The sequence below is a fragment of the Homo sapiens genome, chromosome 17 (assembly GCF_000001405.40).
Source record: "Homo sapiens chromosome 17, GRCh38.p14 Primary Assembly".
NCBI lineage: Eukaryota > Metazoa > Chordata > Mammalia > Primates > Hominidae > Homo > Homo sapiens.
Genome location: NC_000017.11, coordinates 32631535 through 32652465, shown reverse-complemented (window position 1 = coordinate 32652465; position 20931 = coordinate 32631535). Strand labels below are relative to the sequence as shown.

The 20931-nt window shown below is 38.5% G+C and overlaps 1 protein-coding gene across 5 annotated transcripts in view; it reads left to right on the top strand.

Annotated features, from left to right (window-relative positions):
* MYO1D (myosin ID) overlaps nucleotides 1-20931 on the top strand; it is a 384603-nt gene that overhangs the window by 224659 nt on the left and 139013 nt on the right. For all 5 annotated transcript variants that reach the window (XR_001752521.3, NM_015194.3, NM_001411088.1 and 2 more), the window contains one exon: nucleotides 13631-13744. Coding sequence is in view for 4 of the 5 variants with exons in the window: in NM_015194.3 (NP_056009.1) it covers nucleotides 13631-13744 (114 nt within the window). In the remaining variant the exon portion in view is untranslated. The remainder of the gene's footprint in view (nucleotides 1-13630; nucleotides 13745-20931) is intronic.

The window sequence follows — 20931 nt, the reverse complement described above, 5'->3', positions numbered from 1 at the left end:
AATAGACAAAGGAGGAATTAAGAAAATTATCAAAGAATTACCTCATAATAAAGGCCCAAGTTTAGGTGATTTTACACGTGCTTCATTTCAGATCTTTTAAAAAATAATAATTACAGTAGTATTCAGATCAAAATAATGAAATATGATTTTTCAACTATAAATTTGGCAGTCTTTAAAGTGTTGATAATAACCAATGTTTATAAGGATGTAAGAAGACATTTTTGGTCGGAGTATAAGATATAGTCATTTAGAGTGGACAATTTGGCAATATCTATCAAAATTTAAAATTCTCATACCACTTAATCTAAGAATTCCACAGCCCATATTTACCCTACAAATATATCTGTACAAATACCCAGAGAGAGAGAGATGTACAGGTTTGTACATTGTAACAGCCAGAAAAACTGGAAAAAATGTGAATATATATCAATAGGTAATTAATCAATTGTGTATGTACACAGTAATATACACTGATATTAAATTAGCGGGAGGCCAGACGCAGTGGCTTATGCCTATAATCCCACCACTTTGGAAGGCCGAGGCGGGTGGATCATGAGGTCAAGCGATCAAGACCATCCTGGCCAACATGGTGAAACCCCATCTCTACTAAAAATACAAAAAAATTAACTGGGTCTGGTGGTGTGCACCTGTAGTCCCAGCTACTCAGGAGCCTGGGGCAGGAGAATTGCTTGAACCCGGGAAGCAGAGGTTGCAGTGAGCCGAGATCGTGCCACTGCACTCCAGCTGGGTGACAGAACAAGACTCCGTCTAAAAAAAAAAAAAAAAAAAAAGTGGGAAAAAGATATCTATGTGGGGAGAAAAGGACAAAATGTGTGAAACAGTGGTTTTCAAGACAGTGGACATCAAGCAAGGAAAGACAATGTTCCCTGAAATATGAAGAAAAAAATGAGGTGATGAGCCCTGCAATTTGCCAGTTTTCTGTCTTGAGAGACTTTCCAGTCCCAGGATGAGCAGTGGGGGAAGCCCAGGCAGAGCCCAGTAGACAAAGACAGAGCTTTTCAACAGTGAGAGAGACTAAGGCAGCTAGAATTTGTGGAGCAGAGTATCAGAGAGGAGAGAGTTGCACAGAGAGAAAACTCTGAAGATCTGTAGAGTTCACTTTGACTGTTCGTCTGAGTACTGATCAGCACATACATATGTGCATATGAGGAAATAACTCAAGGCTGGGAAACAGCAACCCAAAAGGATTATAGGCAACAATGCCCAGTACTCACACAGGGTTGCAAGTAGTGCCTGTTCACACCAGCCAGACTGGAAAACCTCATGATTTATGAGGCACCGAATAGAGTACTGACAAGAGATTGCCTCAGTAGGGGGTTATAACTAGCCCTTGACCAAACACTGTTCTGATCCTACCTAATAAATCTTGAAAGCACAACCAGAGATAATCAAACTGTTCCCAAGTAACCTAACCAGAACAAAGCCAAAAAATTTTTATAGGAATACAAAAATATCCAGCTCACAGAAGGTAAAATTCACAACATATGACATCCACTCAAAAGTTTCCAAGCATACAAAACAAGAGACTACAACTCATAAGGAGAAAAAAAATTAATCATTCAAACTGACCCAGAACTGATATAGATGATAGAATTAACAGACAAGGTCATTAAAATAATTATTATGATTGTATTCCATATCTTCAGAAAGCTAGAGGAAAGATTTAACATGTTAAATAAACACATGGAAGATTTTTTTAATGACCTGCATGAAGTTATAAAGATGAAAAATACAATTTCTGGGAGGAAAAAACATACTCAATGGGATTAACAGCAGATTAGTCTTTGCAGAAGGAAAACTAGTGAATTTGAAGATATAGCAATAAAAACTACCCAGAATTAAACACAGAGAGAAAAATAAAAGGCTAAAACAAAGCATCAGGAAGCTGTTAGATAACTTCCTGTGGCCTAATATAGGTGCAGCCGAAGTCTCTGAGGGAGAGGAGAGAAGGAGAGAAATAAATAATATTTTTTAAAATAACAGCTGATATTTCCCCAAAATTTGATGAAATGTTAAATGCACAGATCCAAGAAGCTCAACAAACACTAAGCACAAGAAACATGAAGTAAACTATACTACGGTAAATTGTAACTAAATTGCTCAATACCAGTAATAAAGAGAAAAAAGACACGAAGGAACAAAGAAAGTATGCATCCAATTTCTTGTCAGAAGCAATGCAAGTAAGGAGACAGTGGAGCAACATCTTTAAAGTACTGGTGAAAAAACAACAACAACTTAGAATTCTATACCCAGCAAATATATCTTTCAAAAACCAAAGTGAAATAAAGACTTTTTCAGACATATCTGAAGATAAACACTATAGGAAATGTTAAAGGAAGTCATCCAGACAGAAGGAAAATTATACCATATGAAAATGTGGACATTCACCAAAGAATGAAGAGCAAGTGAAGTGGTAGCTACATAGACAAATACATGTCTTTTCTTACTTAAATGTCTTTAAAAGGTAATTGACTATATACCAATGTTTATGGCAGCATAATTCATAATAACCAACAGGTGAAAGCAATTGAAATGTCCATCGATGGATGAATGAATTAAGAAAATGTGGTATAGGCCAGGCATGGTGGCTCACACCCATAATCCCAACACTTTGGGAGGCTGAGGCGGGTGGATCACTTGAGGCCAGGAGTTTGAGACCAGCCTGGCCAACATGGTGAAACCCTGTCTCTACTAAAAATACAAAAATTAGCCAGACGTGGTGGCACAGGCCTGCAATCCCAGCTGCTCGGGAGGCTGAAGCACAAGAATCCCTTGAACCCGGGGGGTGGAGGTTGCAGTGAGCTGAGATCGCACTACTGCACTCCAGCCTGGGCAACAGAGTGAGACTCTGTCTCAAAAAAAAAAAAAAAAAAAAAAGAAAGAAAGAAAATGTGGTTTAGCCATACAATGGATAAAAAGCCATAAATACATGCTACAACCAAGGTGAACGTTGATATTATACTAAGAAAAATAACCAGATACACATGGATAAATATTGTATGATCCCAGTTATATATGGTACCTAGAATGATCTGATTCATAGAGACAGAAAATAGAATGGTAGTTCTAGGGGTTGGGGAAAGAGAGGACTGGGGAGTTATTGTTTAATGGGTATAGAGCTTCAGTTTGGAATGATGAAAGTTCTGGAGAAAGATAGTGGTGATGGCTGCACAACAATGTGAATGTGCTTAATGCCAATGAAGCATTGACCTATACACTTAAAAATGATCCAAATAGAAAATTTTGTTATGTGTATTTTACCGAATTTTTTAAATGAAAAAACACAATTGGCTACTTAAACAGAAACAGTGATAAAGTAGTGTAGAGTTTATAATATATGTAGAAGTAAAATTTATGATAACAATAGCACAAAGATGGGGGAAATGGAAATATACTGTCGTATGGTTTTTATACCATAAAGTGATATAATGTCAGTAGACTGTGATATGTTATAAACGTATTCTGTAAATCCTAGAAAAGCCACTAAAATGGCAATACAAAAAGTTATAACTAATAAGCCAACAAAGGAGAGAAACGAAATTATAAAAAAAAATCTCAATGCAAAAGAAAGCAGAGAAATGTGGAAAAGGGAACAAAGAACAAATGGGACAAATAGAAAACAAATTGAAAATGATAAATTTAGGCCTAACTGTATTGATAATCACATTAAATGTCAATGGTCTAAACACACCGCAATTAAAAGGCAAAGATTATGGCTTCTTAGCATGTGGATGTGTGCACCACCCCCAAAGCTCTCCAAACCCCATAATTTTGAGTTTATGGAGGTTTTATTACACAGGCATGGTTGATGAAATCATTGGCTATGGGTAATTAACTTAATCTCCAGCCCCTCTCCCCTCCGTGAAGGTTAAGGGGTGGGGCTGAAAGTTCCAACCCTCTAATCATGCCTTGGTCTTTCTGGCAACCAGCCCCAATCCTGAAACTATCTAGGAGCTCCTAGTCACCAGTTATCTGATTAGCAGATAGAAACTCTTATGTTGGGAATCTGGGACTAAGACTAAATAAATATCATAACAAAAGGTGATTCTATAACCTCTATCACTCATAAAATCACAAGAGTTTTGGGAGCTTTGTGTCAGGAACTGGGATGATGAGCAAATATATGTATTTCTTATTATATCACAATCAGTGTTTGAACATTATAAGGAAGAAGAAAGAGGTCAACTCAACGTGATAGAGGCTTGTTTGTTTTGTTTTTTGTTTTGTTTTTTTGAGGCAGTCTTACTCTGTCACCCAGGCTAGGGTGCTGTGGCGCAATTTTGGCTCACTGCAACCTCTGCCTCCTGGGTTCAAGCGATTCTCCTGCCTCAGCCTCCCCAGTAGCTGGAATTACAGGTGCACATCACCACGCCTGGCTAATTTTTATATTTTTAGTATAGGCAGGGTTTCACCATGTTGGCCAGGCTGGTCTCGAACTCCTGACCTCAAGTGATCTGCCCACCTAGGCCTCCCAAACTGCTGGGATTACAGGCATGAGCCATCGTGCCCAGTCCTCAGTGTGATAGGGGCTTTTTAACAAAATAGAGAGCAGCTGGTTACAGTTAGAATGAAATAAATGTCATCAAGGAAAGACTGCTGGCAGTATCTTGGGGTGGGTTACCACACTCCAGAGTTTAGTTCTGAACTCTGAGATTTAGAAACTCTATTTTATAAGTATACCTAGAGTCGATCAGACTATCAAGAAAAGACTTTTGCTAACCAGATTCACACACCCATGCAAAAAAAAAAAAAAAAAATGTATAAGCTATAATGTCAGTTTGTAAATATAACAAAGGAATGTACCATGTCAGTGAGTCCTCATATTCACTATCTAGTACACTTTAGTATCAAGCAGCTGGAAAATCAAATTAATAATCAGAGCAGTTGATCAAAGACAGTTGGATGGTTTTAAGAATTAGGTCATTTACTACAGAAATGCCTGATGTCTCTATCTTTCCAGCAATGACAATTTTATGTCTGACAGAGAACATGTCTTTACCTGGGTCCTGCTGGATTAAAAACTGAAGCATTCTTATTCATGTCCCTGTATTTCCAAGTTCAAAGCAAAATACTCTTTGTTCACCCTATAGCTTAAATACGACTTTAGAAACTGTTCAATCCCAAGGCTACGCCAGCGTAAACTTGATAGGATTTCAGTAAAGCCCTCTTCTTTATGCTTAGATTCTCTCTGAAACAGCCACTTTCCATTAACCACATTATAAAATGTCCTTTAAGGTGAAAGACTTCTGCAAATAGCTACTCTCAACCATGATGTGTTTTCTCCTTATCTGCCTCTCCAGATAAACTTTTATCTGTGGCCCCCTGTGGTACTGACTAAACCTATAGACAGATCACTTGTAGTGTTTAGGGAAAAACAAATGCTAGGGATTTTTTTCTTTGGTTGAAGATTTTAGTTTTGGATAATAGAAGAAACAAGATGAGGGTTTATCTAATACAGAGTCTATAATCTAGTTTTTCTATTACTATATGAATTTAAGTGGAAGAAAAGAGTGCTTTTTTGCCATAATTATAAGTCTGGAATTTACATCTATATGTAGAATTTTTTCCTTTGCCATTTTAATATAGCTAAATTATGCAATCTGAGGCTTTTACTTTGTTACCTGATGTCCTTCCCACTCAATTCATATTCTGAGGATAATTTAAGCTGCTGAAACAGAAGGTAAAGATTTGTGATATGTTCTCTTTAGAAATTACATTTTTTGCATATAAAAACGTAATATTTTCAAACAGTGTTTTCATACAATTGCTGCTTTGAGGTTTTCGTTTGTTGTTTTTAGATTAACTCGGGAACATATAAAAGGACATGGGACCTACTTGTTTTGACTCTGGAATGACCTTATGAAATTATGTAACAGGTTTTTTAAATCATATTCTTTTGCCCTACACTCATATGTTTTTCAGTATGATTCCACAAAAGATGACGTGCATGACTTTTACTTATTATTGTTTCCTTTCTTTTATATATATATATATTTTTACAGAGAGGGTCTTCTTCTGTTGCCCAGGCTGTGACTGCAGCCTCAAACTCCCGGGCTCAAGCAATGCTCTTGCCTCAGCCTCCCAAGTAGCTGGGATTAGCTATTATTTGGTGCCTATTTTAGATATTCTCTATGAACTCTAAGATTCATACAAGTGATAGTAAGTGTTCTTCAACATGAGTTTTACAGAACCAGTGTTCTATTGAATATTTGTAGGTGCTGAAAAAGGGTTTCATAGTTAAAAGTATTTTGTAAATACTGGGTTAAACATGCTCTTTAAGTGCAGAATTCTCACAGCCTTTAATATATTCATGGGATCCTGACTGTTAGAAGGAAAACTAACAAACAGAAAGGACTTCCACACCAAAACCCCATCTGTACGTCACCATCATCAAAGACCAAAGGTAGATAAAACCACAAAGATCGGGAAAAAACAGAGCAGAAAAACTGAAAATTCTAAAAATCAGAGCACCTCTCCTCCTCCAAAGGAACGCAGCTCCTCACCAGCAATGGAACAAAGCTGGATGGAGAATGACTTTGACGAGCTGAGAGAAGAAGGCTTCAGATGATCAAACTTCTCCGAGCTAAAGGAGGAAGTTCGAACCCATCACAAAGAAGTTAAAAACCTTGAAAAAAGATTAGATGAATGGCTAACTAGAATAACCAATGCAGAGAAGTCATTAAAGGACCTGATGGAGCTGAAAACCATGGCACGAGAACTACATGACGAATGCACAAGCTTCAGTAACTGATTCGATCAACTGGAAGAAAGGGTATCAGTGATTGAAGATCAAATGAATGAAATGAAGTGAGAAGAGAAGTTTAAAGAAAAAAAAATAAAAAGAAACGCACAAAGCCTCCAAGAAATATGGGACTGTGTGAAAAGACCAAATCTCCGTCTGATTGGTGCACCTGAAAGTGACAGGGAGAGTGTAACCAAGTTGGAAAACACTCTGCAGGATATTATCCAGGAGAACTTCCCCAACCTAACAAGGCAGGCCAACATTCAAATTCAGGAAATACAGAGAACGCCACAAAGATACTCCTCGAGAAGAGCAACTCCAAGACACATAATTGTCAGATTCACCAAAGTTGAAATGAAGGAAAAAATGTTAAGGGCAGCCCTCGGGTTACCCACAAAGGGAAGCCCATCACACTAACAGCTGATCTCTCAGCAGAAACTCTACAAGCCAGAAGAGAGTGGGGGCCAATATTCAACATTCTTAAAGAAAAGAATTTTCAACCCGCAATTTCATATCCAGCCAAACTAAGCTTCATAAGTGAAGGAGAAATAAAATACTTTACAGACAAGCAAATGCTGAGAGATTTTGTCACCACCAGGCCTGCCCTACAAGAGCTCCTGAAGGAAGCACTAAACATGGAAAGGAACAACTGGTACCAGCCACTGCAAAAACATGCCAAATTGTAAAAGCCATCGATGCTAGGAAGAAACTGCATCAACTAATGAGCAAAATAACCAGCTAACATCATAATGACAGGATTAGATTCACACATAACAGTATTAACCTTAAATGTAAATATGCAAAATGCTCCAATTAAAAGACACAGACTGGCAAATTGGATAAAGAGTCAAGACCCATCAGGGTACTGTATTCAAGAAACCCATCTTACATGTAGAGACACACAGGCTCAAAATAAAGGGATGGAGGAAGATCTACCAATCTAATAGAAAACAAAAAAAGGCAGGGGTTGCAATCCTAGTCTCTGATAAAACGGACCTTAAACCAACGAAGATCAAAAGAGACAAAGAAGGCCACTACATAATGGTAAAGGGATCAATTCAACAAGAAGAGCTAACTGTCCTAAATATATATGCACCCAATATAGGAGCACCCAGATTCATAAAGCAAGTCCTTAGAGACCTACAAAGAGACTTAGACTCCCACACAATAATAATGGGAGACTTTAACACCCCACTGTCAACACTGGACAGATCAACGAGACAGAAAGTTAACAAGGATATCCAGGAATTGAACTCAGCTCTGCACCAAGCGGACCTAATAGACATCTACAGAACTCTCCACCCCAAATCAACAGAATATACATTCTTCTCAGCACCACGCCGCACTTATTCCAAAAGTGACCACATAGTTGGAAGTAAAGCACTCCTCAACAAATGTAAAAGAACAGAAATTATAACAAACTGTCTCTCAGACCTGTGCAATCAAACTAGAATGCAGGATTAAGAAACTCACTCAAAACTGCTCAACTACATGGAAACTGAACAACCTGCTCCTGAATAACTACTGGGTACATAACGAAATGAAGGCAGAAATAAAGATGTTCTTTGAAACCAACGAGAACAAAGACACAACATACCAGAATCTCTGGGACACATTCAAAGCAGTGTGTAGAGGGAAATTTATAGCACTAAATGCCCACAAGAGAAAGCAGGAAAGATCTAAACTTGACACCCTAACATCACAATTAAAAGAACTAGAGAAGCAAGAGCAAACATATTCAAAAGCTAGCAGAAGGCAAGAAATAACTAAGAGCAGAACTGAAGGAGATGGAGACACAAAAAACCCTTCAAAAAATCAATGAATCCAGGAGCTGGTTTGTTGAAAAGATCAACAAAATTGATAGACCACTAGCAAGACTCATAAAGAAGAAAAGAGAGAAGAATCAAATAGACACAATAAAAAATGATAAAGGGGATATCACCACCGATCCCACAGAAATACAAACTACCATCAGAGAATACCATAAGCACCTCTACGCAAATAAACTAAAAAATCTAGAAGAAATGGATAAATTCCTGGACACATACACCCTCCCAAGACTAAACCAGGAAGAAGGTGAATCTCTTAATAGACCAATAACAGGATCTGAAATTGAGGCAATAATAGCTTACCAACCAAAAAAAGTCCAAGACCAGACAGGATTCACAGCTGAATGCTACCAGAGGTAGAAGGAGGAACTGGTACCATTCCTTCTGAAACTATTCCAATCAATAGAAAAAGAGGGAATCCTCCCTAACTTATTTTATGAGGCCAGCATCATCCTGATACCAAAGCCTGGCAGAGACACAACAAAAAAAGAGAATTTTAGACCAATATACCTGATGAACATCGATGCAAAAATCCTGAATAAAATACTGGCAAACCAAGTCCAGCAGCACATCAAAAAGCTTATCCACCATGATCAAGTTGTCTTCATCCCTGGGATGCAAGACTGGTTCAACATATGCAAATCAGTAAACGTAATCCAGCATATAAACAGAACCAAAGATAAAAAACACATGATTATCTCAATAGATGCAGAAAAGGCCTTTGACAAAATTCAACAGCGCTTCATGCTAAACACTCTAAATAAATTAGGTATTGATGGGACGTATCTCAAAATAATAAGAACTATTTATGACAAAACCACAGCCAATATCATACTGAATGGGCAAAAAGTGGAAGCATTCCCTTTGAAAACTGGCACAAGACAGGGATGCCCTCTCTCACCACTCCTATTCAACAGTGTTGGAAGTTCTGGCCAGGGCAATCAGGCAGGAGAAAGAAATAAAGGGTATTCAATTAGGAAAAGAGGAAGTCAAATTGTCCCTGTTTGCAGATGACATGATTGTATATCTAGAAAACCCCATGGTCTCAGCCCAAAATCTCCTTAAGCTGATAAGCAACTTCAGCAAACTCTCAGGATGCAAAATCAGTCTTCAAAAATCTCAAGCATTCTTATACACCAATAACAGACAGAGAGCCAAATCATGAGTGAACTCCCATTCACAATTGCTTCAAAGAGAATAAAATACCTAGGAATCCAACTTACAAGGGTTGTGAAGGACCTCTTCAAGGAGAACAAACCACTGCTCAATGAAATAAAAGAGGACAAAAACAAATGGAAGAACATTCCATGCTCATGGATAGGAAGAATCAATATCGTGAAAATGGCCATACTGCCCAAGGTAATTTATAGATTCAGTGCCATCCCCATCAAGCTACCAATGACTTTCTTCACAGAATTGGAAAAAACTACTGTAAAGTTCATATGGAACCAAAAAAGAGCCTGCATTGCCAAGTCAATCCTAAGCCAAAAGAACAAAGCTGGAGGCGTCACGCTACCTGACTTCAAACTATACTACAAGGCTACAGTAACCAAAACAGCATAGTACTGGTACCAAAACAGAGATATAGACCAATGGAACAGAACAGAGCCCTCAGAAATAATACCACACATCTACAACTATCTGATCTTTGACAAACCTGACAAAAACAAGAAATGGGGAAAGGATTCCCTGTTCAACAAATGGTGCTGGGAAAACTGGCTAGCCATATGTAGAAAGCTGAAACTGGATGCCTTCCTTACACCTCATACAAAAATTAATTCAAGATGGATTAAAGACTAAAATGTTAGACCTAAAACCATAAAAACCCTAGAAGAAAACCTAGGCAATAACATTCAGACATAGGCATGGGCAAGAACTTCATGTCTAAAACACCAAAAGCAATGGCAACAAAAGCCAGAATTGACAAATGGGATCTAATTAAACTAAAGAGCTTCTGCACAGCAAAAGAAACTACCATCAGAGTGAACAGGCAACCTACAGAATGGGAGAAAATTTTTGCAATCTACTCATCTGACAAAGGGCTAATATCCAGAATCTACAAAGAACTCAAACAAATTTACAAGAAAAAAAGCAACCCCATCAACAAGTGGGAGAAAGATATGAACAGACACTTCTCAAAAGAAGACATTTATGCAGCCAACACACACATGAAAAAATGCTCATCATCACCGGCCATCAGAGAAATGCAAATCAAAACCACAATGAGATGCCATCTCACACAAGTTAGAATGGCGATCATTAAAAAGTCAGGAAACAACAGGTGCTGGAGAGGATGTGGAGAAATAGGAACACTTTTACACTGTTGGTTGGACTGTAAACTAGTTCAACCATTGTGGAAGACAGTGTGGTGATTCCTCAGGGATCTAGAACTAGAAATACCATTTGACCCAGCCATCCCATTACTGGGTATATGCTAAGGATTATAAATCATGCTGCTATAAAGACACATGCACACGTATGTTTATTGTGGCACTATTCACAATAGCAAAGACTTGGAACCAACCCAAATGTCCAACAATGATAGACTGGATTAAGAAAATGTGGCACATATACACCATGGAATACTATGCAGCCATAAAAAAGGATGAGTTCATGTCCTTTGTAGGGACATGGATGAAGCTGGAAACCATCATTCTCAGCAAACTATCGCAAGGACAAAAAAGCAAACACCACATGTTCTCACTCATAGGTGGGAATGGAACAATGAGAACACTTGGACACAGGAAGGGGAACATCACACACCGGGGCCTGTTGTGGGGTGGGGGGAGGGGGGAGGGATAGCATTAGGAGATATACCTAATTTAAATGACGAGTTAATGGGTGCAGCACACCAACATGGCAGGTGTATACATATGTAACAAACCTGCACATTGTGCACATGTACCCTAGAACTTAAAGTATAATTTTAAAAATCTATATATAAAAAATAATAAAATAAATTTTAAAAAGGAAAAAATATATATTCATGGGATATGAATATCCCTAGTGGAGGCTGTGGTTTGCAGTATTTCTGAAACCAACTTGTCCATGGACCCTTACTTTCACAAAACCTCACATAAGGCTAGAACTGAACAGCTTAGAAAAATGCTGCTATATAAAGACTTGGAACCAACCCAAATGTCCAACAATGATAGACTGGATTAAGAAAATGTGGCACATATACACCATGGAATACTATGCAGCCATAAAAAATGATTAGTTCATGTCCTTTGTAGGGACATGGATGAAATTGGAAATCATCATTCTCAGTAAACTATCGCAAGAACAAAAAACCAAACACCACATATTCTCACTCATAGGTGGGAATTGAACAATGAGATCACATGGACACAGGAAGGGGAACATCACACTCTGGGGACTGTTGTGGGGTGGGGGGAGGGGGGAGGGATAGCATTGGGAGATATACCTAATGCTAGATGACGAGTTAGTGGGTGCAGCGCACCAGCATGGCACATGTATACATATGTAACTAACCTGCACATTGTGCACATGTACCCTAAAACTTAAAGTATAATAATAAAAGAAAAAAAGAAAGAAAAATGCTGCTATAGAAGCTCTTCACTCACTGTGTTTCAAGTTTTCTGACAAGTGCCAATCCTCTGTTAATAGCAAAAGCTGTTGCTATGTAAAGTTATTTACTAAGGCTAATAATTATTCCACCATATAGATTCTATTTTACTCTCAATTACAGACACCATTTTTGTCAAGTTGAAGACTGAAAAAAATGTGCTTTGGTTATTAAGGAAATGCTTAGAGAATTGACTGATTTCTAAAACTATGGGGCAAAGGGGAGAAGATTGAATAAAATTCAAACTAAAATTTAAATTTTAGTTTGCTATATCCTCCCTATAGCAATATATCCTGCTATGTTCCATCCTGCCAATCTTAATTTCATTAGCTAAATAGCCTACCGAAGCTAACCATGTTTTCAAATTGATCTCTAACTTCTTTGTTTGCATCTTAGAAATAAGAATTTGAAGGAGGGGATGGAGGATATAGATCACAACTATGCCTTCTTTTCTAGTTGAGGAGGGCTTTTTAAGTTTTCTGTTTGTTGGTTTGGTTTGCATTCTTTTTCCTTCTAGTTACTGAAAAACATGATATCGTAGTGGTTCAAAAATGTTTAGTGCTAGGTACGTTGATTAGTATCCAAGTCTAGCTGGACATGGTGGCGCATGCTGGCAGTCTCAACAACTTAGGAGGCAGGAGGATCACTTGAGCCCAGGAGTTTGAGGCTGCACTGAGTCACTGCTTGAGCCACTACACACTATCTTGGGTGACAGAGTGAGACCCTCATCTTTTTAAAATACATATGTGTTTATTACCCAAGTCTAAGTAGCTAACTACTTATAAAATATCCTGTGGTTAATTCTGCTCTTAGGAAAAGATTTACCTGAACATGTGAATCTTCTCTGACCCTCTGTCTAATAAAGTAGCATTCTACACACACACACACACACACACACACACACACACACACACACACACAAAATTTCTCCCAATCTCATAATCTAGTTTATTTTCTTTATATCATTATATGAAATTATTTTTACTTATTAGTTTCCTATTTGTCTTATCCCTATATACCAGTCTCAGATTCTTATTATAACCAAGGGCTTCATATTATTTCTTTGTATAATTGGGTTATTTTCCTTTTAGTTATTGAATTGTATTAGTTCTTTACATAGTCCAGATACAAGTCCCTTTTTAGATATATGATTTTCAAAGTTTTTCTCCCATTCTCTGGGTTTGCCTTTTTACTTACTTGATGGTGTCTGGGTTACATATGTTTAGTCCTTTAATTCTTCTGTGGTTTTCTTGTTTTCCATGTTCAATTGTAAAATTTCAATTGCCAAATTCCACAAGTATGGGAACAGCTACTCCTTTTAAATCTTTATTGCATCCAGTAGAGTGGCCATACATGGTTCACATCTATTAAAGAATTTGTCTTCACAATCAGCCAACTTGATTTCCTTATTGATGAGATACTATGGTTTATTGGTTTGTTCTCTTACAGGTAAATCGATTTAGTAAGGTGGAAGACAGAGCAATTTTTGTCACTGACCGTCACCTGTATAAAATGGATCCCACTAAACAGTACAAGGTGATGAAGACTATCCCTCTATACAATGTAAGTCCTCTGTGCTTCTCTCTGGATAAAGATTCTTAACCTGGTGCTCATGGACCACTAATGGGTCAATAGACTGAGTTCTAGAATCTTTGGGGCTTTAGGATGCCCATGAATTCCTGAAATTTTATGTGTCATATGTTTTGTAGAAATGTACAGTTTTCTAAAAGGATCCAAAGTTTCCAAGAGATAAATGCAGACATTTTTTAAAGTGTAAGGACTACTGATTCTTTGTGATCTTTCTCTATTCCTGATCCACTGTTTAAATGCACTGGCGTATAATGCATTTTCTTATTTGTTTTCATAAGGTTTGTTTTTATATGGAAATGGTAGAAAATCGGTAGGGGATTACTTAAAATATTACTTTTTCTCTTTTAAATGTAAAATTTATGCTGCTTCCAGAATTCTTTTCACCATATATTTTGTGCATATTTAGTTGTTGATTGTGTGATCTTTGGTGTAAGTCCACTTTATTGTTCACTATAACCATACAGTTTTCTAATTCCGTTATCATTTTTTATTTGAAATACGAAATTTCGTGGGTATCTCCTTGAATCGCAATATGAGTTTGTTTGTTTGTAATTTGTCCTTCTTAATAGAGTCTGCTTTACAAGTGACTGTTTATTCTGATTCTTCGGAAAGATCCTACCGGAATATTGGATCTTTTCACGTGTCAGGTGATTTTCCTCTGTTAGTTGTTAAAGAAGGAAGACTGTGTTTGTCTAATACTGGGAACTATGAGGAGTATTACTTAGAGAATATTTTAAATCCTTTTGGTTGCTGCAAGAGGGAATAGGAAACATATTGTTTTACAGTTTTATTTTGCTAAGTCAGGGGTCCTTTTAGTTATAAGGTACAAGGAAGACAAACTATTCCTGGCTTTGCTGAATGCTTTAGAATGATTTAGACTATGGGGTGGAGATCCGTCTTCACTATGCACCCCTCACCCAACCCCCTCACACACACACCTTTTTTCCTTTCAATAGAAAGGCCAATAGATTGCAACTAAGGCTAAAATGATATGACACTCTTTTTTATTTTATTTTATTTATTTTTTAGACAGTTTGACTCTGTCCCCCAGGCTGGAGTGCAGTGGCACGATATCAGGTCACCGCAACCTCCACCTCCTAGGTTCAGGTGATTCTTGTGCCTCTGCCTCCTGAGTAGCTGGGATTAGAGGTGCACGCCACCATGCCCAGGTATTTTGTATTTTTAGTAGAGATGAGGGGTTTCGCCAAGTTGACCAGGCTGGTCTCAAACTCCTGGCCTCAAGTGATCCACCCGCTGTGGTCTCCCAAAGTGCTGGGATTACAGGCATAAGCCACCACACCCAGCCCTAAAACACTCTTGATTATATATAGTCTTCTTATATATAGACTTATAATCTTCTATTGCAGTTACAGTTTAAGCCTAATAACCCTCCAATCTTGAAGTAGGAGATGAAGATAGATGAGGCAGAAAATCATATTTTGTCCAAGTCTAAAGAAGTGTGAAACCAAAAAAATTAATTGTGGTATGTGTTTTGTTCCTTTTCCTTGCTTTCTATTAAGGGGAGATTCATCAGGCACATGATATAAATTCAATAAATAGTTAAACAGCTCTTTGAACCGAAGCTGTTTTCCCTTATTCATGTCAACTGGTTTTTATAGTCACTGTTTCCCTTTATCTTCATCATTATCATTGCTAATTGTTATTAATAATATCATGACATCATAAAAACTAACAATGTTTAACTACAGTAGTAAAGGTAAAACGTCAGTGGGATGGATACACCCCGTTGCAGATGCTGTCAACACCCTGCCCATACCGTCTCGTATTCCCATACCATATTTGTGCATACCAGCCTGATTTCCAGCAGCCAACATCTTTGTCAAAAAGCTGCCCTCAGGCTGCCAAACCTGCTTTGCCCTTACTCACAGAGGGCTGGAAGTGCCTAGGCACTCATTGTGTGATAAGTGTGGGGTATAAATACTCCATCTCCATCACTCATTGGCCAAGACAGTTCCAGGCTGTCTCACACCATCTCCTAGAGCTTCCCTGCAGGAGTAAACTTGCCCACAGTGGTGGCTGCCTTCTCTCCCCACTTCCTTGCCAGTGTGCCTGAACCTCCCAAATCAACTCTGTATACTCATCAGCCTTTATCTCAGGGTCTGCTTCTGGGTGGAACTAACTTCAGAAGGGCAGCCACCTTTTCAGAGGGAGCAAGTTCGATGTGATGGGGAACTTCCAACTAGACCTGTCATTGTTTTTAAGTCTGAAGCAAATATGTCAGAATATTAGGTGTGGATGATAGGGACATGAGTATTTGTTATATTATTATTTATACTTTTCTGTATGATTGAAATATTTTGAAATTAAAAACAAAGTTTAAGATAAAGAACCTTTTTAAAACATGATGATGCTAATAATAGTGTTGGAGAAGCTGGGAGGGGATGAAGGAAAGTGATTTCAATTTTAACCATATTGAATTTGAGGTTTTTGTGAAACGTACAAGTATACTTTCCATAGATAGTTGGAAGTCTGATGGTATAGAGTGGGAAAGAATTCATCACTTCAGATTTAAGAGTGGACTCATGTATAGTTGGAGGCTGAAATTATGAGTCGAGAGAGAGAAAGGGGGTGGATTATTCAAAAACATCCACAGTTAAATGGTGGGAAAAAGAGAATCACTGAAGGAAATGGAATAAAAAGGAAATTTCTTTATGGACCTCCATTTTCTCATCTCTCTTTTAATGGACTAAATGAGCTCTAATTTCCCTTCAGTTCTATACTTTTTAAATTATTCTACGAAAGAAAAAAACTATGGGAACATCATGTTTCAAAATCAAATCGGAAAGTTTTCAGAAATAAGAGTAGTCAATAAAAACATACAGGGCATAGCTAAGGGCATCCATACTTCTCTCATTCTCCACCTTTCATTTCTCCTTCTATAGAGGCTCCTTTCCTGTTTTAGTTAGTCCTTTCTTGCTCCAAGGACAGACTGTAAGCGCATTCTGTCTTAAGTAATGTTTCTTTCCACCCCCCCGCCACCCGAGACGGAGTCTTGCTCTGTCACCCAGACTGGAGTGCAGTGGCGCCATCTCGGCTCACTGCAACCTCCGCCTCCTAGGTTCAAGCAATTCTCCTGCCTCAGCCTCCCAAGTAGCTGAGATTACAGGCACCTGCCACCGTGCCCAGCTAATTTTTTTTGTATTTTTAGTAGAGATGGGGTTTCACCAGGCTGGTCTTGAGCTCCTCACCTCATGATCTGCCCACCTTGGCCTCTCAAAGCGCTGGGATTACAGGCATGAGCCACCACGCCTGGCCCCATTTTTTATTTTAGTAAAGGTACCAGGGTAGTAAGGGAATCAAATCCCATGGAAACCCAGGAAATGCTACCATTCAGGTTTTAAGGCAGCTTTAAGGGACCCTGCTATCGTTTAGCCTCCTCCACAACCTGAGTTTTGCATAGCCTATGTTTCTGCCATTCTTTCTCTTTTTCTCTTTGTCTATCTTCTTACTCACAGTTACTTCTTTCTTGCTAGACAGCATGGGTCAGCTTTAGGCTAAGGTCTGAGTCAGCCAACTCAGCAAACCATTAGAGTTTCATCTTGCAGTAACATATTGAACACAGTGTCTCAGATGAGGCCTCGCCATAGCAACCAATGCTGGGTGATCCAGATCGGTACTTTTGTTCATGCCGAATGCTTGCAAATCTATGCATAGTCTTTCCTTACTTTTTCTGGTATGGCATGGATAATTCCTACTATTCATTTTGGGGTATAACTGATCTCCTCCCTCCACTATTTATCACTGTCATCCTTAGGCCCAAGCCACATTTGGACCTTGGTCACAGATCACGCTGAATATTGGGGCGGGTCATTGGGTTTTCCCAGCAGAAAGGAGCAGAAGAGAAGTGCTTCAGATAGGCCAGGTTGGCCAGGCATCCTAGGTCCTTGGATTCTTCCCAGCTACTCCCACTCCAATTGCCAGCATCCCAGTCTTTGTCAAACAGGACCTAAAATTGTGCTCATGAATCTCCAGGATGGGTGAAAACTCAGCTGATGTTGCAATTTGGTAGTTTGTCTAATCATTCTTGAACGTAGTCTTCATGAGTGCTTTCAGCAGAAAGTGGTTCCTCTGTTTCCTTAACTGCCTCCAGCCACGCACTATGGGACCAATATTTGTTGTTTTCCTAATGCACTATAAAAAATACCCATCCAATCCCACTATCCTTACATCTCCTAATGCATTGAACTTCTATAAATCAGCAACTAACTTTAATGGGCACACCAGCCATCTCCCATGGGTCACCAGTGATAGGTTAAGTAACATCTTCCTCCGTACAGACCATGAACTGCTGGCTTTCCACACTGGGTGGAGCAATCCTCCTTTGCCCCTCCTTGTTGAGATGCTGCAGCCAATTGCACACCCCCTCTTGAGAGTTGCTTTTTGCAGCATCCTGGTGCTCATTTCTTCCTGCTAGGTTTTGAGTTGTAATGAACAGAGACTTAAGGGACCTCGAGTAGACAGGAGATGGGCGATTTTAAATTGCATCTGGGTCAGAGAGAATGACAGTCTAGAAATTACCTTCTTTGGGATTTTAGGCAGTTATACATCAGATCATCTATACATCACACCCTCAATAACTAAACCATTCAATTCAGATAATTACTAAGTGTTCATTATATGCCAGCCACATATGTATTAGGAACATAGAGGTGTCAAAACAGGCAAAATCTCTGCAAGTCTTGGAATTTACATTCCAATGGGGAAAAGTATATGTGTGTGTATGTATATACATACGCACATGATATAGTCCATAGAAGGTGATAAGGGAAAAAATAAAATCAGGAAAGAAGATAGAACGTGTGAGGTGTGTTGTAAGTTTAAATAGGGTGACCAGGCCTCACTGAGAAGTTGACATTTAAGCAAAGACTTGAAGGAGTTAAGGAATGAACCGTACGTGTACTTGGTGGAAAGTATTTTAGACAGAAGGAACAGCAAAGACACAGAGACACGAGCAGGGAGGAAGGAGCCTTCTGGGATGGGGGTGGGGGCTGGAAATGTGTAATAGCTTGATCTGGTGGGGGGTTCACAGATGTATACATTTGTAAGAACTCATCAAGCTGTTTACTTGAGATTTGTGCACTCTAGGGCATGCATGTTATACCCTAATAAAAATGGGAGGAGAAAGAGAAGAAAAAGAAGAAGAAAGCAAGCTATCTATGAAGGGGGTAAGAGGAGGATGTAAGTAAAGAGGAAAGTGAAGCAAATTAGTTAAATGATCACTCAAGCCTGGGGGAGATTTCAGTGTACTTAAAGAGAGGGATGTGTGAAACACTAGAGTGAAGAGCTCTTCATTGTACCTATAGGTATATACTCCTTTGTGTTCCTAATATTGATTATATGTACTTTTTCTCATTTCTTCCAAGATCAGTTTTGCTGTAGGTCTGTCTCTCTTATTGATTTTGTTATCTTTTCATTTACCTCTGCTCTTATTTTTTCCTTCTTCATTCTTTAGGTTGTTCTTTTTCTAGCCTTTTTAGTTGGGGGCTTAACTGTTTTTTTTTTAAATTTAGTCTTAAAAATTCATTGAATTTGTAAATTTGTATTTAAGAATGGCTTGAGCTGAACTTCACATGTGTGATACTACCTTTGTTGTTCAGTTTTAATTATTTTGTGATTTCCATTGTGAGTTCCTCTTTAAGCCATGAGTAGTTTGGTAGTATGTTTTTAAATTACTACATAGATAGTAATTTGTGGTAAGTGTGCTTTTGTGTTCTGTGCGGGGGAGATCATTTTTCTCCATTGCTCTTCAGTGCCATATTTGTCATAAACCGAGTGTCCATACACCTCTTCCGGATTCTCTGCTCTGTTCTATTGGTCTGTTAGATATCCTTGTGCCAGTTACTGTTTTGATTACTGTTGGACAAAGGTATTATGAACCCAAAAATTACAATAAATTCCCAGATACCCTCCTTTCCGTCTTACCTCCTCCCAACATAACACTGTCATTTGCCACAACCATATGAAGGGAAAAAGAGCGGGGGATGATGGTAAAAGGAATTCTGTCAGAAAGGACAGCTTCCTATTTGCCTATTTATATATATATATATGTGTGTGTGTGTGTGTGTGTGTGTGTGTGTGTGTGTGTGTATATATATATATATATATATATAGTACTTAAGTTTGCATGTTTTCTTTCTCATGAAGTCAAATGCCTTTAGGAGTCAGATGGGCACATACACGAATGCAGCATATACCTCATGACACGGCAGCCGCCACTCCGCTCCAAAAGGTTTGGGCCATGCCTGAATCCACTGGGCCAAAGCTTTGGATATGCCTAGAAAAATCAGAAGTCTGCATTTTATGTGAAATCTCCTAATTGTTAAGTATTATGAACTAACTTTAAAATGCCTTGCAAGCCAAATAAAAAAAACATGTCTATAGGCCATATTCAGCCCCAGGTTTCCAGTCTGCTACTCTTATTAAAAGAGGTCTTGTCATTTGTTATTTGAAGTGAGCTATAACCAGACTCCTTGGCCTCCTCCATGCCAAACTTTAAAAACTCAAAATCTATGTTATGTGTTATTCTAGACTTTATGGAGCAGAGATAGACACTAACCATTTCTCACTCACTTATAAGGAGCTATAATTGGGTGCAAGCTTTAGGAGAATATATTTTCTACTTTAGTTAGCAAGGAAGGAAGGGAATAAAGGAAATCTCTGATAAGCAAATCTTTCCTAACTTAAGAGCATTCTGTTCCCTCAGAGTTCACTGCTAATTCTATCCCTCTGACTTTTTATTATGAAAAATTTCAAACTAACAGAGTTTGAAAGAATAGCACAGGGAACACCCATGTTCCCCACCCCTATATTCACTAAGGCCTTATTTTTTGCCATATGTGTTTTATTTCTGTCTTGTGACACTTCACCCTTGAAATACACGTGTGCATCTCCGAAGAATAAGGACATTCTCCTTCATAACCACAATACCATTTTCATATCTAAAATATTAATATTTCCATAATATCATCTAATATTCAGTACATATTTAAATTTCCCCAGTTGTTCAGACTACCTTTTTTTTTTTTAAGAGACGGGTTCTCGCTCTGTTGCCCAGGCTGGAGTGCAGTTGTGCAATCATAACTCACTGCAGCCTTAAACTCCTGGGATCAAGCATTCCTGTCTCCTCAGCCTTCCAAGTA